The sequence below is a fragment of the Homo sapiens genome, chromosome 15 (genome assembly GCF_000001405.40).
Source record: "Homo sapiens chromosome 15, GRCh38.p14 Primary Assembly".
Classification (NCBI taxonomy): Eukaryota; Metazoa; Chordata; class Mammalia; order Primates; family Hominidae; genus Homo; species Homo sapiens.
The window spans coordinates 54,440,862-54,468,519 of record NC_000015.10 but is presented as its reverse complement, the minus strand read 5'-3'; the positions used below and the strand labels follow the sequence as shown (position 1 = coordinate 54,468,519).

The following is a 27,658-nucleotide window of genomic DNA, read 5'->3' as shown; positions in this document are numbered from 1 at the left end:
CAGCGATTTCTTGGCTAAGATTCCAAAAGCATAGACATCCAAAACAAAAATGGATGGAATGAATCAAAATAAAAAGCTTCTGCACAGCAAAGGAAACAAAAAAGTGAAGAGACAACCCATGGATTGGGAGACAATATTTTCAAATAAATACATTGGATACAAGACTAATATCCAAAATACATTAATACAATGAACTCAAACAACTCAATAACAATAAAACAACCCTATTTAAAAACAGGCAAGAGACCTAAGTAGACATTTCTCACAAGAATATATAGAAATGGCCAACAGATACATGAAAAATGCTCAATGTCAGATAAATGCAAATTAAAACCACAATGAGATATCACCTCACAACTATTAGATTGGCTATAATCAAAAAGATATAATATAAAAAGTACCGGTGAAAATGTGGATAAAAGTGGACCCATACATGCTGTTGGTGGTACTGTAAATTAGTACAGGCACTTTGGAAAACAGTATGGAAGTGTCTCAGAAAACTGAAAATGGAGCTATTATATGATCCAGCAATCCCACTTCTGGGTGTATAGCCAAAGGAATTGAAATCAGTATGTTGAAGAGATAGATATCTACATCTACACTCCCATGTCCATTGAAATATTATTCAATGTGGGAAACAACTGAAGTGATCATCATTTAATGAATGGATTTAAAAACATGGGAAATATACACACAATGAGATACTATTGAGCCTTAAAAGAGCAGGGCAGTCTGACATTTTTGACAACATGAGTGAACCTATAGGACATTATGCTTAGTGAGACAAATGCCATATGATCTCACCTAGACGTGGGATCTGAAAAAGTCAAACTCAAAGAATTAGAGAATAGAATTGTGGTTATCAGAGGCTGATGGGAGAGCAGGGTAGATGGAGAAGGGGATATATTAGTGAAACCATAGACAGTTTAGGTTAAACAAGAGGAATAAGTTCTGGTGTTTTATTGCATAGCATGGTGACTACAGTAAATAATAATTTATTGTGTATTTCAAAATAGCTAAGGGAGAGGAATTTAAATGTTCCCATCAGAAAGAAATGATAAATATTTGAGGTAATGAAAACAATAATAAAATTGATGAAAACTTAAAATCTTGTAAAAAAAAAGAAATTTGTAGTCATCTCTGTCCTCTAGTTACACTCAAGTTTGTGTACTTTTTTGCTTTTCATTTAGAAATTGTTGGCAAATATTTGGATTTAAATAGCCATCATTATCATAATTAGTTTCATCAAATAACTACAATTTTGGAAAACTCCATCATTTACTGAAAAATTCTTCTTGAGTTATTTAAATTTATGTTTCCCTGTTAAAATGTAAGCCCCATGAACGAAGGAACCATGTCTATCTTGTTCACAGCTGTATTTCCAGTCCTTGTTTAAAATATAGATAATATGGTTTTGTGCCCAGAAATTCTCATTTAGAAACTCCAGTGTAGGTCCCAGAAGTCTGAATATTTTAACAACTGTCACAGTTTATTTTAATGCACAGTCAGGTTTGGAACTACTTCTCTAGAATAATGCTGGTCAATACAGTAGCTCTGGAAATTCACAGGTCTCCTAATTTCTTTAGGATCAAATATTAGTTTCCCAATTTATCATAATATTTTAAGATGCTTCTTGTTGTCACCTTTATTTACTGCTTATTTGCATAGCCATTATTAATCTTTTATTACATTTTTCTCTTTTTGAATTTTATTTGATATTTTTCAAATTACTAAAATAATACCTGATTGTTGGAATAAATGGGAAAATCAATCTTCCAATCCCACCCCACCTCCACTGAATGTCCATGGAACACTGATACGCTTCTTAGGAATACAAATATGTGTGTGTGGGTGGGGTCTGTTTTTATTTGCCAAAAGAGAATAATCACATATATAATTTTTTTGTCTTAAAGATGCAACATCCTGACACGATAGTGTCTCAAGATCAATTTACTTCCACAGGCAAATTCAGCCTGAAGTTCATCTCCAACATGCCCTTTTGTCACATACGTCAGAATACCAGTATCCAGAGTTCAGCTGACTTTTTTGGAAATTGATGTCTAATAGCTGTAGACATTAATGGGGTACATGAGATATTTTCATACATGCATACTATGTGAAATGATCAAATCAGGGTAATTGAAATATACATCACCTCAGTCATTTACTGTTCTTTTGTGTTCTGAAATTCTAAATCTCTTGCAGTTATTTTGAAATACATTATAAATTCTTGTTAACTATAGTCACCCCACTGAGCTATCAAACTCTAGAAGTTATTTCTTCTATCTAATTGTATTTTTGTACCCATTAACCAACCTCTCTTTCCCCACCTTTGCAACCTCTGGTAACCACCATTCTACTCTCCACCTCCATGAGATCAATTCTTTTTAGCTCCCACATATGAGTGAGAACATGCAAAATTTGACTCTCTGTGCTTAGTTTATTTCATTAAATGTAATAACCTTCAGTTCCGTCCATGTTGCTGCATATAACAGGATTCCATTCTTTTTATGGCTTAATAATATTCCACTGTGTATACAGACCATATTTTCATTATCTATTCATCTGTTGATGGACAAGATTCTTGTCTACGCACATAATCTTTTTGCACATTGACATCTGAAAGCACTTTTCTAGGAATAATTCAGGCTTTAGCGGAAAATAACTTAAATATATGCAACATCATGCTCCTTACATTGCTTCTTATGTAGTCTTAACCTGATATCTTTGTTCTGGTAATTCTGTTTCTGAATTCCAAAGTCTAATCCTCATTATGTATCCCCAATCCTGTTAGCCGAATATCTGTCATATTAAAATGCCACACTTTGACCATCTTTCTGGAATCATACTACTATTCCTGCCTCTGTGCATTCACATTGGTTATTTTCTCCCCATCCTGAATGAGTTATCATTTTATCTAGCCTCAGCCATAGTCATCATTTTACTTAAATGTAGCTTCAAATTCTCATAATTCAATAAGTTATTACTAACTAGTACCATTTCATGTTGACCTCTTACTCAGTAGGGAGTTATACTAATGGCTCCTTTCATTTTCTTATTAACCCTTCCCCATAAGCAGTCTATAACTCAGATCCTTATTTGTTTTATCATATCTACCAAAGTATTTATAAAGCATAGAAGCCATAAAATGTTTAAATACATGAATTTAAATTCAGCATTCAGAGGCCAAAAGGATTGGCTAAATGAACTATGAATACTATAACATTTAAGTATTTTCTGGTGTATTCTTGATGATCGATTGACTGTATTAGGGTAAACTGAAGATAAGTGGAATCATACACTAGCACAGTTCATTTGAAATCTTAGAATTTACCCTATTCTGGTCACTGTCTTATTGACTGTTTCCTTTTAGTTTTATTCATTACTTCTTTCAAGCTGTGGTACCTCACAAGCATATTCCAAAAGCAGATAACAATAGCTTCAATATATATTGAAATTATATGATACTGAATGCTGCCATCAGATATGTATTATCTGTGTAATATACAGAAAGAGTATAATGTATTATTTGTATGTATTTGTTATAACAAATCAACTTCTATAATCATTGGGGCTAGACAATGAATGACAATTTTAGTGAAGCCTGTAATAGAAGTTCTAAGAGGTTAAAAAAAAAAAAGCAATCCATGAATACCTTTGAATACTATTTATCATTTAAAAGCATTCCATTTGTAAGTCCTTAATACCTTTTACTGGCCAGGAGAATAGTCAATAAACATGCATTTCTCCTAACATTACATTAATTTACACTCATTTTCTACTGGATAATCTGAATTTATCTGGAGCAATACCACCTCTTCTATGTATGTGACTGCTATCGGGAATCTAAGGTTCTTCCTTCTAAAATTATTCAAATAAAAATTTGATTTAAAAGTTTTTAAACTTAAGATGAGTCCTTTTCCTTGTACTATGACCACTACAGAATTTTCAAAAATACATTTAACTCATATACAATGAGTTTTCATCCTTTAGAAGAAAAAGTCTATTAAATACAACTCATCATTCTGATGTTTTATGTACAGTCAACTAATAAATAATTATAATGTTTATTTTCAAGAATAAAAAAATGTAATGCTTCACTAAAATATCAACATAAAAATAATTGAAAAATACTTGGAAGATAAATGATAGCTCAGAGAAAGTTTTCTCTATTCCAGGAAGATTTATTTTAAATAGCTAATAAAAGATGGATATGCTGGCAGAAAAACTGACAAAGTTCATGAATGGAAAATGTAATAAAAATGATCATATAGGAAAATGGATTCAACTGTATCAATTATTAAAAAGGAAAATTCAGATTCCAAGATATTGTTTTTCACCTAGGATATTAGTAAATATTGAGCATATTGATAATACCTAGTGTTGGCAAGATATGGAGAACTAGGCACTTTTAATTGCTGTTAATGGAAATCTTACATGATAAAAATTTCATAGAAATTACTACTGATATTTATAATTTACATTCGTTAACTGCTTCTTTATCGTCACCATCATTCCTGTTATCATTTGTTGCGATTTTAATAACTATGTAGATGACCTTTTTAGTGCCCTGGCTATAAGTCTCTGACCTTCTCTTCTCCATTGGGCTTGTCCCTTCTTCCACTTCAGCCATCCCCTCCCATGGTCTTACCCTCTGTCATGTCATTACCAACAATGGCATTCCCTTCAACTCTCAATTTCAAGAATTCTGCCTTTTGACGAGCATCCTACTTCTTGATCTGGTTTTCATTTTGTGTCCGGAATTGGTGGGTTCTTGGTCTAACTGATTTCAAGAATGAAGCTGCGGACCCTCCCAGTGAGTGTTACAGTTCTTAAAGATGGTGTGCCCAGAGTTTGTTCCTTCTGATGTTCGGATGTGTTCGGAGTTTCTTCCTTCTGGTGGGTTCGTGGTCTGGCTGGCTTCAGGAGTGAAGCTGCAGACCTTTGCAGTGAGTGTTACAGCTCTTAAGGCGGCGCGTCTGGAATTGCTTGCTCCTCTCCTCCAGAGTTGCTCATTCCTCCCAGTGGGTTCGTGGTCTTGCTGGCCTCAGGAGTGAAGCTGCAGAGCTTCGCGGTGAGTGTTACAGCTCATAAAGGCAGTGCAGACCCAAAGAGTGAGCAGCAGTAAGATTTACTGCAAAGAGCGAAAGAACAAAGCTTCCACAGTGTGGAAGGGGACCCCAGTGGGTTGCTACTGCTGCTTCAGGCAGCCTGCTTTTATTCCCTTACCTGACCGGCCCCCCCCCCCCCCCCCGCCCACATTCTACTGATTGGCCCATTTTACTGAGAGCCGATTGGCCCATTTTACTGAGAGCTGATTGGCCCATTTTGACAGGGTGCTGACTGGTGTGTTTACAAACCTTGAGCTAGACACAGGGTGCTGAGTGGTGCATTTACAATCCTTTAGCTAGACACAAAAGTTCTCCAAGTCCCCACTAGATTAGCTAGACACAGAGCACTGATTGGTGCATTTACAAACTTTAGCTAGACACAGAGTGCTGATTGATGCATCCACAAACCCCCAAGCTAGACACAGAGTGCTGATTGGTGCATTTACAATTCTCTAGCTAGACACGAAAGTTCTCCAAGCCCCCACCTGACTCAGGAGCCCAGCTGGCTTCGTCTTGTGGATCCCATGCCAGGCCCATGGGTGGAGCTGCCTGCCAGTCCAGCACCACATGCCTGCACTCCTCAGCCCTTGGGTGGTTGATGGGACCAGACGCTGTGGAGCAGGGGGTGGCGCCCGTCAGGGAGGCTCCTCGGGCTGCGCGGGAGCCCATGGGTTGGGGGGCTCAGGCATGGCGGGCTGCAGGTCCCAAGCCCTGCCCCTGGGGAGGTGGCTGAGGCCTGGTGAGAATTCAAGCGCATTGCGGGCAGGCCGGCAGTGCTGGGGGACCCGGCGCCCCCTCCGCAGCTGCTGGCCCAGGTGCTAAGCCCCTCACTCCCCGGGGCCGGGGGCACTGGCCAGTTGCTCAAAGTGTGGGCCCACCAGGCCCACGCCCACCCAGAACTGGCGCTGGCCCGCGAGTGCAGTGCGTAGCCCCGGTTCCGGCCTGCACCTCTCCCTCCACACCTCCCTGCAAACAGAGGGAGCCAGCTCCAACCTTGGCCAGCCCAGAGAGGGGCTCCCACAGTGCAGCTGTGGGCTGAAGGGCTCCTCAAGCATGGCCACAGTGGACGCTTAGGCGAAGGAGGCACTGAGAGCGAATGAGGGCCACCAGCACATTGTCACCTCTCAATTTCACTCCCTCTTATATCCACTGAGATTTACATTTTCTCTATAAATAGTCCCTTCATAATTCTATTTTCTTTTTATTATGAGTTTGTGGCTCATGATTGTAGTCTCTCTTTTATATACATGCTCAACTACTTGGCCTCTCTTTTTCTTTGTCACACCCCTGGCAAAGGCCTAACTTGGGTAAACCCAAATCCTTATCTATTTTGTGCTTGTATCCCAGTACTTAACATGACTGGAAAACATACAACTCTGCTGACTAGTCATACCTTCAAGTGATGGCCACAAAACTCAAAAGGTTTGTGGTCATCACTTGAAGGTAAGACCAGTACTGACAGTGATCTCTGCATTTCACTATCTTTGCTTCCTACTCTCAGAAGTTATTATTTCATACCAGTATTCTTCTTTTTCTTCAAACATTGAACAACCCCTCAAATCTCCTCACTCTCAACTGATCAGTTAGTATCCACATCTATCACTACCACATTTACCAATCTGCTCTCTTCTGTAGACACATACTTTGCCTCTCCTTCTGCTACTGTGGCTGACCTACTCATACTATTATCTAAGAGTAGCCAGTCTATTTATTTAGTGAATCCTACCTGATTTACTCAATGACTCAATTGTCACAATTGTGTACTTTCTCTTCTGCATTATCAATTTTTCTCTGTCTACTAAATTATTCCCATAATCATAAATACATGTAGTATTTTCACAATTATTAATGGATTTTTAATATTAAAATGAAGACCATGGAGATTAAAGAACATCACACATATATAAATCAAATTATAGACTAACAAAATATTTTGCTAGATGACATTTAAGCTAAAAGAAACCATAAATACAAAGATAGATTATATGATATACAGGTTAAATATCCCTTATCTAAAATGCTAGGGACCAGTAGTGTTTTGGATTTTGAATTTTGGAATATTTGCAATATATTGACTGATTGAGCATCCCTAATCTGAAAATCCAAATTCTAAATATTCCAGTGAGCATTTCCCTTGAGTGTCATGTCAGCACTCAAAAAATGCCAAATTTGAGAACATTTCAGATTTTGAATATTTGGATTTGGGATGCTCAACCTATAATAAATCTTTACAACAAAAATAATATAACTTGAATAAAAATATCCTAAGAAAAATATATGCAGCAATTGTTTTAAAAATTAAAAATTATATTTTATAAATAAGTCAAAAAAATAAGAAATTCAAACATACTGATTGAAGACCAATATTTAAGGGGAAAGTCATGAATAAAAATGCAAGAAATAAAATTAGTCAACAAACATAAAATATGTTCCACTCTTTTGTTATAAAATAAATAAAAAATATAAACAAACAATAAGGTTTTAATTTATAACTATTACAACAGCAGATTTGAAGTTATTCCTATATTCTAGACTTGAGAGGAAAATGGCCAATAGGAGACAGGACTAACGTGCAGCTCCCACTTGGATGGACAGAACAGTGTGTGGAGATTCATTTTGTGAACTTCTGCTTCAAGGACCACTGCAAGAACATACCAGAAAAACCGAAAAAATTCACAGACCCTTTGAAAGAAGCAGCTTGCTACTGCAAATGCTGCAAGACAACTGGAAAACTGTGAAGACAAAGGACGTAAACTCTTGGGAGCTCTATGACCCTGCCCATTGCCTGAGAAACCCAAGTACTTATCCTGGCCAACTTAGGGTAAGATTATATCCCCCTTCTATTACTGGAGCTGGTGCTCTCTTGAAAGTGCCACTTCCTGGCTGGAGGCCAACCAACTCCAGCCATTACAGCCACTCATAACAGAACAACCCTGCTCCAATGAAGGAGAAGACAACAGCTAATTCTACTGCCAGCAATAACCTGGCTAATCAGAGGTCCTGAGTCTGTTGAAGTGACAGCTTCACTGCTAGCATAACCAGCATTCAAGAAAACCAGCACACTAAACAAAACTACAACCAAGGACTCCCACAGAGTCCACTTAACTCCTGTGCCACCTCCACTGGAGCAGGTGCTGGTATCCATGGCTGGGAGACATGAAGATGGATCACATCACAGGACTCTTTACAAACATTCCACAGCACAAGCCCAGAGCTCAGTAGCCCTACTGGGTGGACAAACTTAGAAGGGCAATAACAATCACTCGAGTCTGGCTTTCAGGAAGCCCCATTCCTAGGGGGAGAGCACCATATCAAGGGATCACCCAATGGGAAAAAATAATCTGAACAGCAGAGTTTGAGCCGCAGATCTGTCCACTGAAACAGTCTACACAAAGTAGAAGGAACCAGAAAAGTAATTCTGGTAATATGAATAAACATGGTTCTATAACACTCAGAAAATATCACACTAGCTCTCCAGTAGTGGATCCAAACCAAGAAGAAATCTCTGAATTACCAGATAAAGAAATCAGAAGTTTGATTGTTATTATTTAGCTACTCAAGAGGGCACCAGAGAAAGGTGAAAAGTAACTCAAAGAAATAAAAAAAAAAGAATATGGATGCAAAAGTCTCCAGATAAATAGACATCATAAAGAAAAGACGAGCACAACTTCTGGAAATAAAAGACACACTTAGGGAAATGCAAAATACACTGGAAAGTTTCAACAATAGAACTGAACAAGTAGAAGAATGAACTTCAGAACTCAAAGACAAGGCTTTCAAATTAACTCAATCTGACAAAGACAAAGAAACAAGAGAAAAAAATGAAAAAAACTTCCAAGAAATTTGGGATTATGTTAAACAACCAAACGTAAGAATAATTGGTGTTCCTGCGGAGGAAGAAAAATCAAAAAGTTTGGAAAACTTATTTGAGGGAATAATCAATGATTACTCCCCTGATCCTGCTAAAGATCTTCACATCCAAATACAAGAAGGTCAAAGAACACCTGGGAAATTCATCACAAAAAGGTCATCACCTAGGGACATAGTTATTAGGTTACCTAAAGTCAAGATGAAGGAAAGAATCTTAAGGGCTATAAGACAAAAGCATCAGGTAACCTATAAAGGAAACAGTAGATTTCAGATTAACGGTATATTTCTCAGCAGAAAAACTGCAAGTCAGAAGGGACTGAGGTCCTATCCTTAGCCTCCTTAACAAAATAGTTATCAGCCAAGAATGTTTTATCCAGAGAAACTAAGCTTCGTAAATGAAGGAGAGATAAAGTCTTTTTCAGACAAATGCTGAGAGAATTCACCACTACCACGCCAGCACTACAGGAACTGTTAAAAAGAATTTTAAGTCTTGAAACAAAACTTCAAAATACACCAAAATAGAATCTCTTTAAAGCATAAATCAACAGGACCTATAAATCAATAACACAATGAAAAAAAGATACTAAGTCAACAACTGCTATGAAGAATAGAACAGTACCTCACATCTCAATACTAACATTGAATATAAATGGCCTAAATGCTCCACTAAAAAGATACAGAATGGCAGAATGGATAAAAACCCACCAATCAAGTATCTGCTGTCTTTAAGAGACTCACCTAACAGAGAAGGATACACATAAACTTAAGGTAAAGGGATGGAAAAGATATTCCATGGAAATGGAATCCAAAAGTGAGCAGGAGTAGCTATTCCCTTAAAAAAAAAAAAAAAAAAAAAAAGACCTTAAAGGAACAATAGTTTAAAAAAGACAGAGGGACATTCTATAATGATAAAAGGGTTAGTCTAATAGGAAATATCACAATTCTAAATATATACACATCTAACACTGGAGATCCCAAATTTATAAGACAATTATTACTATATCTAAGAAATGAGATAGATGGCAACAAAATAAAAGTAGGAGATTTCAATGTCAACTCCACTGATAGCACTAGGCAGGTCATTAAGACCAAAAGTCAACAAAGAAACAATGGACTTAAATTATACCCTAGAACAAATGGATTTAACAGATATTTGCAGAACGTTCTAACCAACAACTGCAGAATATACATTCTTTTCATCAGCACATGGGAAATTCCCCAAGACGGACCATATGATAGGCCACAAAACAAGTCTCAATAAATTTAAGAAAACTAAAAGTATATATAGTACTTTCTCAGGTCACAGTGAAATAAAATTGGAAATTAACTCCAAAGGGAACTATTAAACTATACAAATACATAAAAATTAAATAATCTGCCCCGAATGATATTTGGATCAACAATGAAATCAAGATGGAAAATTAAAAATTCCTTGAACTGAATGATAATTATGACACAACCAATAAAAATCTGTGGGATACAGCAAAAGTGGTGCTTAAAGGAACGTTAATAGCTTAAATGCCTACATCTAAATATCTGAAACAGCACAAGTAGACAATATAAGCTCACACCTCAAGGAACTGGAGAAACAAGAACGAACTAAACCCAAATCCAGTAGCAGAAAAAAAAAAGGAAAAAAAAAAAAACGAAAAGCAGAGCAGAACTACATGAAATTGAAACAAAAAAATAGAAAAGATAAATGAAACAGAAACCTGGTTGTTTAAAAAGATAAACAAAATCAAAAGATCATTAGTGAGATTAACCAAGAAAAAGAAGAGAGAAGATCCAAATAAGCTCAATTAGAAACAAAATGGGAGATATTTCTACTGATACCACAGAAATACAAAAGATCATTCAAGGCAATTTGAACACCTATATGCACACAAACTGGAAAACGTAGAGGATATGGATAAAATCCTGGAAAGATGCAAGCCTCCTAAATTAAACCAGGAAAAAATAGAAACTCGGAACAGAGCAAGAACAAGTAGCAAGACTAAAATAGTCTTTAAAAAAATTGCCAAAAAAAAGTCCACGGCCAGATGGATTCACAGCTGAATTCTATAAGACATTCAAAGAAGAATGGGTACCAATCCCACTCAAACTATTCCAAAAGATAGAGAAAGAAGAAGTCCTCCCTAACTCATTCTATGAAGGCAGTATCACTGTAATACCCAAACCAGGGAAGGACAGAATAAAAAAAGAAAACTACAGAACATATCCGTGATTAACATAAATGCAAAAAACCTTAACAAAATACTAGCTATCTGAATCCAAAAGCATGTCAAAAAGATAACATGCCATAATTAAGAGGGTTTCATACCAAGGATGGAGGGTTGGTTTAACATATGCAAGTCAGTAAATGTGATACACCACATAAACAGAATTAAAAACAATAATCATATGATCATCTCAACAGACACAGAAATAGAATTTGATAAAATCCAGCATCCCTTCCTGATTAAAATCCTCAGTAAAATCAGCATAGAAGGGACATATTTTAAGGTAATAAAAACCATCTATGACAAACCACAGCCAACATTATACTGAACATGGAAAAGTTGAAAGCATTCCATCTGAGAACTGGAACTAGACAAGGATGCCCACTTTCACCAGTTCTATTCAACATAGTACTGGAAGTCCTAGTCAGAGCAGACAGACAAGAGAAAGTAATGAAGGGCATCCGAATCAGTAAAGAGGAAGTCAAACTGTCATTGTTTACTGATGATATGATCATATACCTAGAAAACCCTAAAAACTCATTCAAAAAGCTCCTAGATCTGATAAACGAATTGAGTAAAGCTTCAGGATACAAAATCAATGTACACAAATTAGGAGCATTGCTATACACCAGTAGTGACCAAGATGAGAATCAAATCAAGAACTCAAACCCTTTTGCAACAACTATAAATAAATAAATAAATAAATAAATAAATAAATAAATAAATAAAATACATAGGAGTAAACCTAACAAAAGAGGTGAAAGATCTCTATAAGGAAAACTACAAAACACTGCTGAAAGAAACAGATGATACAAACAAATTGAAACATATCCCATGCTCATGGATGGGTAGGACCAATATTATGAAAATGATCACACTGCCAAAAGCAATCTATATATTCAATGCAATTCCCATAATACCATCATCATTCTTCACAGAATTAGAAAAGAACAATCCTAAAGTTCATATGGAACCAAAAAGGAGCCTACGTAGCCAAAACAAGACTAAACAAAAAAGAACAAATCTGGAAGCACCACATTACCCAACTTCAAACTATACTACAAGTCTATAATTATCAAAACAGCATGATATTGGTATGAAAAACAGGCATGTAGGCCAATGGAACAGAATAGAGAACCCAGAAGTGAGGCCAAATCCTCACAGCCAACTGATGCTCGGCAAAGTGGGGAAAGGAAACCCTATTCAACATATGGTGCTGGGATAATTGGCAAGCCACAAGTAGAAGAATAAAACTGGATCTTCATCTCTCATCTTATGCAAAATCAACTCAAGATTTATCAAAGACTTAGGCCTATGACCTGAAACCATAAAAATTCTAGAAGATAACATCAGAAAAAGTCTTTGAGACAATGACGAACAAAGAGTTCATGACCAAGAACCCAAAAGTAAATGCAACAAAAACAAAGATATATAGATGGGATTTAATTAAATTAAAAAGCTTCTGCACAACAAAAGGAATAATCAGCAGAGTAAACAGACATCCCACAGAATGGGAGAAAATCTTTGCAAACTATGCATTTGACAAATAACTAATATCCAGAATCTATAAGGAACTCAAATAAATCAGCAAAATAATAATCATAATAATAATCATAACCCCATCAAAAATCAGGCTAAGTTCATGAATAGACAATTCTCAAAATAAGATATAAAATGGCCAACAAACATGAAAAAATGCTCAAATTACTAGTGATCAGGGAAATGCAAATCAAAACCACAGTGCAGTACCACCTTACTCCTGCAAGAATGGCCATAATTAAAAAAAAAAAAAAAAAGCAGATGTTGGTGTGGATGTGCTGAAAAGGAACACTTTTACACTGCTAGAGGGAATGTAAACTAGTAAAACCACTGTGGAAACACAGTATGGAGATTCCTTAAAGAACTAAAGGTAGAACTACCATTTGATCCAGCAATCCGTCTACTGGGTATCTACCCAGAGAAAAATTAAGCCATTATTTGAAAAAGACACTGCACATGCATACTTATAGCAGCACAATTTGCGATTGCAAAAATACAAAACCAGCCTAAATGCCCATCTACCAATGAGTGGATTAAAAAACATATATATATATATATATATATATATATATATAGAGAGAGAGAGAGAGAGAGAGAGAGAGAGAGAGAGAGAGAGGAATATGACTCAGCCATAGAAAGGAATGAAATAATGGCATTCACAGCAACCTAGATGGAGTTGGAGACCATTATTCTAAGTGAAGTAACTCAGGAATGGAAAACCAAAGATCCTATGTTCTCACTTATAAGTGGGAGGTAAGCTATGGTAATGTAACATAATAATGATATAATGAACTCTGGAGACTTGGGGGCAAGGGTGGTAAGGGATAAAAGACTACAGTTTTGGTGTAGTGTATACTACTGACGTGATGGGTGCACTAAAATCTCAGAAATCACCACTAAAGAACTTATCCATGTAAACAAACACCACTTGTTCCCCTGAAACTACTGAATGAATGAATGAATGAATGAATGAATGAATAAATAAAATTTAAAAAAGAGATGGAGTACTGGGAGTTGCTACACTGTGGATGAAACTTGAAAACATTATGTTGGGTGAAAGAAGCCAGACACAAAAGGCCATGCACAAATTGTATGATTCCACCTACATGAGGTACTCAGAATAGGTAAATGTATAGAGAAAGAAAGTAGAATAGAAGATATCAGGGGCTTGGAGGAAGGGCATGGGGAGTTATTGTTGTTTTTTTTTTTTCCCCCACTATTGTTGCCTGGGCTGGAGTATAATGGTGTGATCTCAGCTCACTGCAACCTCCACCTCCCGGGTTCAAGTGATTCTCCAGCCTCAGCCTCCTGAGACCTTGGGATTACAGGTGCCCGCCAACACGCCCGGCTAACTTTTTGTATTTTTAGTAGAGACGGGGTTTCACCATGTTGGCTAGGCTGGTCTCGAACTCCTGACCTCAGGTCATCTGCCTGCTTTGGCCTCCCAAAGTGCTGGGATTACAGACGTGAGCCACTGCACCCCGCCAGGGAGTTATTGTTCACTGGGTACAGAGTTTCTCTTGGGGATGAAGATGAAAAAGTCCTGAAAATAGATGGTGATAATAGTACAACATTGTGAATGTAGCACCTCATGCCACTGATTTGCACACATATTAATGGTTAAAATGGTAAATTGTATTTTATATATATATATATCACAATAAAAATTATAAAAAAGAATAAAGTACCAATACATGTTACAATATGGGTAAACCTTGAAAACATTATGCTGAGTGAGAGAAGCCAGACACAAGGCAACATATTTTATGATTGCATTTATATGAAATGTCTGGAATATGCCAATCCACAGAGCTAGAAGGTAGATGGTTATCAGATGCTGAGGGAGGGGGAAACTGACAATATTTTGTAACTAGATGGGGTGCTCGTTGCACAACACTGTGAATAAACTAAATGCCACTGAATTGTACACTTTAAAATGGTAAATTTTATGTGTATTTCACCTACATTAAAAATAATATACTATATCAAAAAAAGTAATTCCTACATTCCATTTTGTCAAAAGTGTGCTTAACTGAGAATATCTATTTATAGCTGGTGGCAGTGAACACTGTTGAAAACATCAGAAAAAAATTTGTCAATATATTTCAAAAGGTATAGCATGTTAATCATCTTTGACTCAGTAAATTCATTCCTGATAATTTGCACAAAGATGTAAACAAAATGAGGAAAAGGCAAAATACAAGAACTTTTTACTGTAGCATTATTTACAGTACTTAAAAAATCTAACAACCTGATTATCCAAATATAGGGTGTAGTTAAAAAGCTGAAGGTTATGGATTTGGTGGAATATTATGTAACCATCTGAAGAGGGATTTCAAGATGGCTGACTAGAGGCATCTAACAAATAGTGAGTTGGTAGTCATGCTTTCAATAGATCCTCTAAGAGAGAACATCAGGATTCAACAGATAAGAGACAGGAGACATGTAAAAGAAGGAAGGACAGAGAAGCAAGGTAGCCTGCTCAGCTAGTATCATCTGGGAGCCCAGTGAGACTCAACAGTGCAGGAAAAGGGTAAGTGAGTGATCCCTAGCAGTCTACATTCCCACCATGGACCCCTCCAATCCTACCAAGGGAATGTTTCTTGACACTTGTGGGCACGGAGATAAACAGAGAAAGCTGCCTGGAGACTGTGCAATGGCATTGCTTTAGAGAGAGAGAATGAGCTCAGGTTTGGTCCCTCATACTGGAAACTCAAGCCCTAAGCAGCTACAAAATGGTGCCATTTTGAGAACCTAGCCACCACCAGAATGCATCCTGTCCTGGGCCCCAACAGCCTCTGCATTTCCACACCCTTAGAATCCCATTGTCATCCCCTGCTGAGAGCTGCTGCTGCTGGCTACTGCCACCTGGGCTAAATGTGAGCCACTGGCAGCAACTCTATTTTCCCAGAAAGAAGGGCTGCTGTGCGTTTTCATGCACATAGAAAAGTGGCTGCTCCATTGGCAGCTGCCACCTGGGGCCAAAGTGCACACTCCCCAGCCAGCTACCTATGGCTGCCGACACTGAAAGCAAACTGGCCCTTAGCAGTAGCAGGGCCACAGTGCAGATGCAGCCATCTCCACAAAAGCATGCTGCTGGGGTCTGAGGATCACTCCGTCTGACCACAGCCAACCTCTATGCACCATGGGGAAATCTGAGGACAGGTTTTCCCAACCTGGCTTTCTCCAACTTCCCCTAGTACCTGAGCATGCTGTCCAGGAATCTTGGGATTGTCCTGCCCTATCCACCAGCATTTGCACCTAAACATTCCTCTCAGCAGCTGAAGATGGGCCCATCCAGCCTGCTGTTGCCACCACTGTAGGTACCCACCCCTATACACCACCTGTGGGACAGAAGACCAGCTTGCCCAGCCTGTCTCAGCCATGTTCAACACCAGTGCAGATGGCTTGGGAACCAGAGCATTGAGCCACCACTATAACTGCCATAATCCACGCACTATCCAGGGCCACAAGGACCCACCCACCAACCTGACCCACTGCTGCCACTGCTGGCATCTGAGCAAACCAAGTGGAGACCCAAGAATTGGCCCTCCTGGACCTGCCAATATGGAGGCCAGTGTACATTGCTCTTGGGCTCAAGAACAGCTACATTTGCTCCATCACTGCTCACACTGGGGTCTGAGGACTCACCCAGGTGATGCCTCCATCCTAAGCAAAGCTTCGCCACAGTCTCCACTAAGAATCACACCCTAAGTCACTGAGGAAATCACAGATACCACTGATTTGGCTGTGTATGGTCAAATAAATGATACAAATAATACACTACTGCATGCACTGAGAATCAAAGCCAATGTTCCCTACCTAACCAAAATCACAGATACACATTCAGTATGAAGTCCTTCCCTATGAAAGCAAATCCAAAAAATTGGAAGAGGCAACTGTTATATCAGGTGCACAGATACCAAGATAAGGACACAAGAAACATGACAAAGGAAGGAAATATGACACTTCCAAAAAAACACAATAATTCTGCAGCTACATATTCCAATGAAAAAGAAATTTATCAAATACCAGAAAAATTAAAAGTAATGATATTAAATAAGGTCAGTAAGGAACAACACAATACAGATAACTAATACAAAGAAATCAGAAAAACAATTCAGGATATAAATGAGAAACATACAAAAGAGATAGCTATAATATAAAATAACCAAAATATCCTGGAACTGAAGAATACATTGAATGAAGTAAAAAATGCATTTATTCAACAAAAGACTAGATCCAGCAGAAGAAAGAATTTCAGAACTTAAAGACAGGTCTTTAAAATAATCCAGTCAGACAATTTTTTTAAAAAGAGTTGAAACAAAGCCTACATGACATATGGGACAGCATAAAAGGACTAAATATGTAAATTTTCAGAGGCCCAGAAGGAGAACAAAAAATAAAAAAAACCTATTTAACAAAATATTAGGTAAAGCTTACATCCCTTACATAGATGTTATATTCAAAAGGCTGAAAAAAGTATCCACCAAAAATACTACACCCCAAAAATTTACCCTTCATAAATAAAAGCAAAATAAAGTTTTTCCCTGACAAGCAAAAACTGAGGTAATTCCTCATCACTAGACTGACCCTGCAATAAACTCTTTAGCATAAAATGACTAAATATATGAATTTTCAGTGACCCAGAAGGAGAGGAAAAAATATTTAAAAAACTCTATTTAACAAAATAACACGTAGAAGCTTACATCTCTTACAGAGATGATATATTCAAAGTGCTGAAAAGAAAAAGAAAGTATCCACCAAAAATACTATACACAGTAAAGTTATCCTTCATAAATAAAGGCAAAATAAAGTCTTTCCCTGACAAGCAAAAACTGACTGACCCTAAAAGAAACTCTTGGGTGGTTCCAAGATGGCCAAATAGGAACAGCTCCAGTCTACAGCTCCCAGTGTGAGCGATGCAGAAGATGGGTGATTTCTGCATTTCCAACTGAGGTACTGGGTTCATCTCACTAGGGCTTGTCGGACAGTGGGGGCAGGACAGTGGGCGCAGTGCACCGAGCGTGAGCTGAAGCAGGGCAAGGCATCACCTCAACCGGGAAGCGCAAGGGGTCAGGGAATTCCCTTTACTAGCCAAGCAAAGCTGTGACAGACCGCACCTGGAAAATTGGGTCACTCCCACCCTAATACTGTGCTTTTCCAATCGTCTTAACAAACGGCATGCCAGGAGATTATATCCCACGTCTGGCTCAGAGGGTCCCAAGCCCATGGAGCCTCGCTCATTGCTAGCACAGCAGTCTGAGATCCATCTGCAAGGCAGCAGCGAGGCTGGAGAAGGGGCGCCCGCCATTGCTGAGGCTTGAGTAGGTAAACAAAGCAGCCAGGAAGCTGGAACTGGGTGGAGCCCACCACAGCTCAAGGAGGCCTGCCGGCCTCTGTAGACTCCACCTCTGGGGGCAGGGCATAGCTGAACAAAAGGCAACAGAAACCTGTGCAGACTTAAATGTCCCTGTGTGACAGCTTTGAAGAGAGTAGTGGTTCTCCCAGCACAGTGTTTGAGATCTGAGAACGGACAGACTGACTCCTCAAGTGGGTCCCCGACCCCCGAGTAGCCTAACTGGGAGGCAGCCCCCAGTAGGGGAAGACTGACACCTCATCGTGGCTGGGTAGCCCTCTGAGACGAAACTTCCAGAGGAACGATCAGGTAGCAACATTCGCTGTTCAATATTCACTGTTCTGCAGCCTCCACTGCTGATACCCAGGCAAACAGGGTCTGCAGTGGACCTCCAGCAAACTCCAACAGACCTGGAGCTGAGGGTCTTGACTGTTAGAAGGAAAACTAACAAAGAGAAAGGACATCCACACCAAAACCCCATCTGTACGTCACCATCATCAAAGACCAAAAGTAGATAAAACCACAAAGATGGGGAAAAAACAGAGCAGAAAAACTGAAAATTCTAAAAATCAGAGTGCCTCTCCTCCTCCAAAGGAATGCAGCTCCTCACCAGCAGTGGAACAAAGCTGGACGGAGAATGACTGATGAGCTGAGAGAAGAAGGCTTCTGACGATCAAACTTCTCCAAGCTAAAGGAGGAAGTTTGAACCCATTGCAAAGAAGTTAAAAACCTTGAAAAATGATTAGTCGAATGGCTAACTAGAATAACCAATGCAGAGAAGTCCTTAAAGGACCTGATGGAGCTGAAAACCATGGCTCGAGAACTATGTGATGAATGCACAAGCTTCAGTAGCTGATTTGATCAGCTGGAAGAAAGGGTATCAGTGATTGAATATCAAATGAATTAAATGAAGCGAGAAGAGAAGTTTAGAGAAAAAAGAAGAAAACGAAACAAACAAAGCCTCAAGGAAATATGGGACTGTGCGAAAAGACCAAATCTACATCTGATTGGTGTACCTGAAAGTGACAGAGAGAATGGAACCAAGTTGGAAAACACTGTGCAGGATATTATCCGGGAGAACTTCCCCAACCTAGCAAGGCAGGCCAACATTCAAATTCAGGAAGTACAGAGAAGGCTACAAAGATACTCCTTGAGAAGAGCAACTCCAAGACACATAATTGTCAGATTCACCAAAGTTGAAATGAAGGAAAAAATTTTAAGGGCAGCCAGAGAGAAAAGTCGGGTTACCCACAAAGGGAAGCCCATAAGACTAACAGTGGATCTCTCGGCAGAAACTCCACAAGCCAGAAGAGAGTGGGGGCCAATATTCAACATTCTTAAAGAAAAGAATTTTCAACCCAGAATTTCATATCCAGCCAAACTAAGCTTCATAAATGAAGGAGAAATAAAATCCTTTACAGACAAGCAAATGCTGAGGGATTTTGTCATCACCAGGCCTGCCCTGCAAGAGCTCCTGAAGGAAGCACTAAACATGGAAAGGAACAACCGGTACCAGCCACTGCAAAAACATGTCAAATTGTAAAGACCATCGAGGCTAGGAAGAAACTGCATCAACTAACAAGCAAAATAACCAGCTAACATCATAATGACAGGATCAAATTCACACATAACAATATTAACCTTAAATGTAAATGGGCTAAATGCTCCAATTAAAAGACACAGACTGGCAAATTGGATAGAGAATCAAGACCCATCAGTGTGCTGTATTCAGGAAACCCATCACACGTGCAGAGACACACATAGGCTGAAAATAAAAGGATGGAGGAAGATCTACCAAGCAAATGGAGAACAAAAAAAGGCAGGGGTTGCAATCCTAGTCTCTGATAAAACAGACTTTAAACCAACAAAGATCAAAAGCGACAAAGAAGGCCATTACATAATGGTAAAGGGATCAATTCAACAAGAAGAGCTAACTATCCTAAATATATATGCACCCAATACAGGAGCACCCAGATTCATAAAGGAAGTCCTTAGGGACCTACAAAGAGACTTAGACTCCCAAACAATAATAATGGGAAACTTTAACACCCCACAGTCAACATTAGACAGATCAACAAGACAGAAAGTTAATGAGGATATCCAGGAATTGAACTCAGCTCTGCACCAAGCGGACCTACTAGACATCTACAGAACTCTCCACCCCAAATCAACAGAATATACATTCTTCTCAGCACCACACCGCACTTATTCCAAAACTGACCACATAGTTGGAAGTAAAGCATTTCTCAGCAAACATAAAAGAACAGAAATTATAACAAACTGTCTCTCAGACCATAGTGTAATCAAACTAGAACTCAGGATTAAGAAACTCACTCAAAACCGCTCAACTACATGGAAACTGAACAACCTGCTCCTGAATGACTACTGGGTACATAACGAAATGAAGGCAGAAATAAAGATGTTCTTTGAAACCAATGAGAACAAAGACACAACATACCAGAATCTCTGGGACACATATAAAGCAGTGTGTAGAGGGAAATTTATACCACTAAATGCTCACAAGAGAAAGCAGGAAAGATCTAAAATTGACACCCTAACATCACAATTAAAAGAACTAGAAAAGCAAGAGCAAACACATTCAAAAGCTAGCAGAAGGCAAGAAATAACTAAGATCAGAGCAGAACTGAAGGAGATAGCAACACAGAAAACCCTTCAAAAAATCAGGGAATCCAGGAGCTGGTTTTTTTGAAAAGATCAACAAAATTGATAGACCACTAGCAAGAGTAATAAAGAAGAAAAGAGAGAAGAATCAAATAGATGCAATAAAAAATGATAAAGGGGATATCACCATCGATCCCACAGAAATACAAACTACCATCAGAGAATAATATAAACACCTCTATGCAAATAAACTAGAAAATCTAGAAGAAATGGATAAATTCCTCAACACATACATCCTCCCAAGACTAAACCAGGAAGAAGTTGAATCTCTGAATAGACCAATAACAGGCTCTGAAATTGAGGCAATAATTAATAGCCTACCAACCAAAAAAATTCCAGGACCAGACAGATTCACAGCCAAATTCTACCAGAGGTACAAGGAGGAGGTGGTACCATTCCTTCTGAAACTATTCCAATCAATAGAAAAAGAGGGAATCCTCCCTAACTCATTTTATGAGGTATCATCCTGATACCAAAGCCTGGCAGAGAGAATTTTAGACCAATATCCCTGATGAACATCGATGCAAATATCCTCAATAAAATACTGACAAACTGAATCCAGCAGCATATCAACAAGCTTATCCACCATGATCAAGTGGGCTTCATACCTGGGATGCAAGGCTGGTTCAACACATGCAAATCAATAAACGTAATCCAGCACATAAACAGAACAAAAGACAAAAACCACATGATTACCTCAATAGAGGCAGAAAAGGCCTTTGACAAAATTCAACAGCCCTTCATGCTAAAAACTCTCAATAAATTAGGTATTGATGGGATGTATCTCAAAATAATAAGTGCTATTTACTACAAACCCACAGCCAATATCATACTGAATGGGCAAAAACTGGAAGCATTCCCTTTGAAAACTGGCACAAGACAGGGATGCCCTCTCTCACCACTCCTATTCAACATAGTGTTGGAAGTTCTGGCCAGGGCAATCAGGCAGGAGAAAGAAATAAAGGGCGTTCAACTGGGAAAAGAGGAAGTCAACTTGTCCCTGTTTTCAGATGACATGATTGTATATCTAGAAAACCCCATTATCTCAGCCCAAAATCTCCTTAAGCTGATAAGCAACTTCAGCAAAGTCTCAGGATACAAAATCAAAGTGCAAAAATCACAAGCATTCTTATACACCAATAACAGGCAGAGAGCCAAATCATGAGTGAACTCCCATTCACAACTGCTTCAAAGAGAATAAAATACCTAGGAATCCAACTTACAAGGGATGTGAAGGACCTCTTCAAGGAGAACTAGAAACCAATGTTCAACGAAATAAAAGAGGACACAAACAAATGGAAGAACATTCCATGCTCATGGATAGGAAGAATCAATATCGTGAAAATGGCCATACTGCCTAAGGTAATTTATAGATTCAATGCCATCCCCAACAAGGTACCAATGACTTTCTTCACAGAATTGGAAAAAAATTACTTTAAAGTTCGTATGGAACCAAAAAAGAGACTGCATTGCCAAGTCAATTCTAAGTAAAAAGAATAAAGCTGGAGGCATCACGCTACCTGACTTTAAACTATACTACAAGGCTATAGTAACCAAAAGAGAATGGTACTGTTACCAAAATAGAGATATAGATCAATGGAACAGAACAGAGCCCTCAGAAATAATACCACACATCTACAACTATCTGATCTCTGACAAACCTGACAAAAACAAGAAATTGGGAAAGGATTCCCTATTCAACAAACGGTGCTGGGAAAACTGGCTAGCCATAGGTAGAAAGCTGAAACTGGATCCCTTCCTTACACCTTATACAAAAATTAATTCAAGATGGATTAAAGACTTAAATGTTAGACCTAAAACCATAAAATCCCTAGAAGAAAACCTAGGCAATACCATTCCGGACATAGGCATGGGCAAGGACTTCATGTCTAAAACACCAAAAGCAATGGCAACAAAAGCCAAACTTGACAAATGGGATCCAATTAAACTAAAGAGCTTCTGCATAGCAAAAGAAACTACGATCAGAGTGAACAGGCAACCTACAGAATGGGAGAAAATTTTTGCAATCTACTCATCTGACAAAGGGCTAATATCCAGAATCTACAAAGAACTCAAACAAATTTACAAGAAAAAAACAACCCCATCAACAACTGGGCAGAGGATATGAACAGACACTTCTCAAAAGAAGACATTTATGCAGCCAACAGACACATGAAAAATTGCTCATCATCACTGGCCATCAGAGAAATGCAAACCACAATGAGATACCATCTCACACCAGTGAGAACGGAGATCATTAAAAAGTCAGGAAACAACAGGTGCTGGAGAGGATGTGGAGAAATAGGAACACTTTTACACCATTGGTGGGACTGTAAACTAGTTCAACCATTGTAGAAGACAGTGTGCCCATTCCCTAGAAATACCATTTGACTCAGCCATCCCATTACTGGGTATATACCCAAAGGATTATAAATCATGCTGCTACAGAGACACATGCACATGTATGTTTATTGCGGCACTATTCACAATAGCAAAGACTTGGATCCAACCCAAATGTCTGAAAATGGCAGAATGGATTAAGAAAATGTGGCACATATACACCGTGGAATACTATGCAGCCATAAAAAATGATGGGTTCATGTCCTTTATAGGGACATGGATGAAGCTGGAAACCATCATTCTCAGCAAACTATCGCAAGGACAAAAAAATAAACACTGCATATTCTCACTCATAGGTGGGCATTGAACAATGTGAACACTTGGACACAGGAAGGGGAACATCACACACCAGGGGCTGTTGTGGGGTGGGGGGAGGGGGGAGGGATAGCATTAGGAGATATACCTAATGTAAAGGATGAGTTAATGAGTGCAGCACACCAACACGGCACATGTATACATATGTAACAAACCTGCACGTTGTACATATGTACCCTAGAACTTAAAGTACAATAAAAAATACATATATATAAAAGTAATATATATATAAAAAATAAACTCTTAAGCCAGTTCTACACCTGGAAGTGAATGGATGACATCCACCATCATAAAAATGCACAAAAGGATAAAACCCACTGGTAGAGCACACACAAAAAAATTAGGAAGAGAAAGGACGTAAATGTTATGACTATAGAAAATCCCAAACCACAATAATAAATAATAGGAGAGAAAAAGTGAAACAAAGGATATACAAATGATCCAGTGAACAATTAACAATATACCAGGAACAAAATCTCATATATCAATGATAACCTTGAATTGAAATAAATTAAATTTTCCTACGTAAAAGATATAGACTGGATGAATGGATAAAAGTACATGATACAGTTATATCATGCCTACAAAAGATCACTTTTCCTGTTATCTGACATATATAGACTCAAAGTAAAGGAATGGAAAAGACATATACAAATGTCATATACATATATATGTATATACATGACTATATATGACATATTATATATATGTATATATATGACATATATTTGTGTATATATATACATTTATCAAAAGTAAGGGAATGAAAAATGATATTCCACGTCAACAACAACCGAAATTGAGCAGGAGAAGTCATATTTACACAAGATAAAACATACTTTAAGTAAAATAAAAACTATAAAAAGAAACAAAGAAGATTATTATATAATGATAAGGGATCATCCAGAAAGAGGACATAACAGTTCTAAATATATATGTAACCATACTGGAGTATCCAGATATATAAAGTGGATATTATTAGATCTAAAGGGAAAGATGGGCTCCAATAAAATAATGGTAGGGAACTTACTGTCAGTATTAGACAGATCATCTAGACAGAAAATTAACAAATACACTTTGAAATTAAACTAAATTTTAGAGCAAATGAACTTAATATACCTTTACAGAACACTTTATTCAACAGCTACGGAATATACATTCTTCTCATCAGTATATGAAATTTTATCCAAGATAGAGTATATGTTAAGCTGCAACGCAAGTCTCAACAAATTTTAAAAATCAAAATGACATCGTGTCTTCTCATACAACAATAAAATAAAATTAGAAATCAATACAAAGAGGACCTATTGGAAACTACACAAATACATGAAAATTTATAAATCATGCTCCTGAATGATCATTGGGTCAATGAAGCAATCCAGATGAAAATCAGAAAGTTTATTGAAACAAATAAAAATAGAAACACAGCATAGCAAAATATATGTGATAAAGTCAAAGCAGTGCTAAGAGGGAAATTTTTAGCAATAAATGCTGACATCAAAAAAGTAAAAAGATTTTTAAATAAACAATCTAATGCTGCTCCTCAAGAAACAAGAAAAGCAAGAAGAAACCAAATCCGAAATTAGTTGAAAGAAAGAAATAATAAACAACAGACTAAATCTAAACAAAAGAGAGACTAAAAAATACAAAGGATCAATGAAACAAATTGGATTTTTGAAAAGATAAAATTGATAAACCATTAGCTTGATGAACCAAGAATAAAAGAAAAAGATCCAAATAAACAAAGTCAAAATTGAAAAAAGAGACATTATAACTGATACTACAGAAATGTAAAAGATCATCAGAGACTATTATGAACAACTATATGCTAACAAACTGGAAAACCTAGAGGAAATGGATAAATTCCTGGGCACATATAACCTTCCAGGATGGAATCAGGAAGAATAGAAAACCTGACCAGATCAACAGTGAGCAATGAGATTGAATCAGTAACAAAGTCTGTGGAGAAAGAAAAGCCCATAACCAGATGACTTCACTCTCAAATTTTAGCAAATATATAAAGAAGAATTAATACCAATTAACCTCAAATTATTACCAAAAAATTAAGAGGAAAAAATTATTTCCAGTGAATTCTATGGGGCCAGAATTACCCCGATACTAAAACCAGAAAAGGACACAACAACAAAAATAAACTACAGGCCAATATCCCTGATGAACATAGATACAAAAGTCCTCGACAAAATACCAGCTAACAAATCCAACAGCACATCACAAAGACAGCACAATATGAACAAGTTATCCCAGGAATGCCATGATAGCTCAATATATGTAAATCAATAAATGTGATACATCACATCAAAGAATGAAAGACAAAAAAGATCATCTCAATGGATGTAGAAAAAGCATCCTTTCATGATAAATCTTCTCAATAAACTAGGCATAGTGGAACATAACTCAACATAATAAGGACTATACATGACAAACCCACAGCTAACATCATACTGGGTGAGGAAGTCTGAAAGCCTTTCCTCTAAGAACTGGGGCTGAGCGTGGTGACTCACACCTGTAATCCCAGCACTTTGGGAGGCTGAGGCAGGTGGATCACCTGAGGTTAGGAGTTCAAGACGAGCCTAGCCAACATTGTGAAACCCTGGTCTCTACAAAAATACAAAAATTAGCTGAGCATGATGGCAGATGCCTGTAATCCCAGCTATTCAGGAGGCTGAGGCAGAAGAATCGCTTGAATCTGGGAGCCAGTGCACTCCAGCCTGGGCAACAGAGTGAGATCCTGTCTCAAAAAAAAAAAAAAAAAAGAACTGGAACAAGTGGTGAAAGATGCCTAATTTCATTCAATTCAATTTAGTACTGGAAGTCCTTGCTAGAGCAATCAGGCAAGAAAAAGAAAAAAAGGCATCAAAATTGGAAAAAGAATAAGTCAAATTATCTCTCTTTGTGGAAGACATTATATTTGGAAAAGAATAAAAGACTCTATCAGAAAATTCTTAAAATGTATACACAAATTAATAAAATTACAAGATACAAAGTCAATACACAAAAGCAGTAGTGTTTCTATACAATAATAATGAACTAGTTTAAAAAGAAAGAAGAAAATCCCATTTAAAATAGCTACAAAAAAATACCTAAGAATAAATTAAACAAAGATGATAAAAGACTCCACAATGAAAACTACAAAACACTGATGAAAGCAAATGAAAATGACACAAATAGAAAGATATCTTATGCTCATGGATTAGAAGAAGAAATATTGTTAAAACAATCATACACGTAAATCAACCAATAGTTTAAGTGTACCCACTATTAAAATACCAACGTAGTTTTTCAAATAAATGAAAAAAAAAATCCTAAAATTCCTATGTAGCCACAAAAGACACCAAATAGCCCAAGAAATTCAGATCAAAAAACAAAGCTGGAGATATCAGAGTATCTGACTTCAAAACATATTACAAGGCTATAGTCAACAAAATAGCATGGTATTGGTATGAAAACAGACACATAGAACAATGGAACACAATAGAGAACCCTAAAATATATTCACATATTTATAGCTAAGTGATTTTTGATAAGGGTGCCTACTGATTCCCTCCAAAGGTGCCAAGAACATATATCAGGAAAAGAATAACTTCTTAAATAAATGGTGCTAGAAAAGTTAGACATCTATATGTAGAAGAACGAAACTGGACCCCTATCACTCATCATATACAAAAATCAACCAAACATAGATTAAACACCTAAACATAAGACCTGAAACTATAATAAAACTGCTAGAAGAGAACTTGAAGAAAACACTTCAGGATATTGGTCTAGGCTAGGATTTCAGGGCTAATACCTCAAAAGCACAAGCAATAGAAAGAAAAAAAGACAAATGGGACTGGGACTATATTAATCTAAAATACTTCTGCAGAGCAAATGAAATAACCAACAGAGTAAAGAGACAATCTGCAGAATGAGAGAAAATATTTGCAAAGTATTCATTTTACAAGGAACAAATATTCAGTATATAGAAGGAACTCAAATAACTCAACAGTAAGAAAATAAATAATCTCATCAAAAAGTAGTCAAATGACATGAATAGACATTTATCAAAAGAAGACATACAAGTGGTCAACATGTATATTAAAAATGCTCGACATCACTAATCATCAGGGAAATGCAAATCAAAACCACAATGAGATATCATTTTA

The 27,658-nt window shown here is 37.5% G+C and overlaps 1 protein-coding gene across 7 annotated transcripts in view, besides 1 other annotated feature; it reads right to left on the bottom strand.

Moving 5' to 3' along the window:
- UNC13C (unc-13 homolog C) overlaps positions 1–27,658 on the bottom strand; it is a 795,839-nt gene that overhangs the window by 164,921 nt on the left and 603,260 nt on the right. The window lies entirely within an intron of this gene.
- Positions 26,629–26,798: an enhancer, noted in NCBI's record as "experimental_40047 CRE fragment used in MPRA reporter constructs". NCBI's record gives its function as "activates a minimal promoter by MPRAs in K562 erythroleukemia cells, with activity observed for the introgressed 15:54734005 variant allele {active_cell/tissue: K562}" and the evidence as "EXISTENCE:reporter gene assay evidence [ECO:0000049][PMID:34662402]".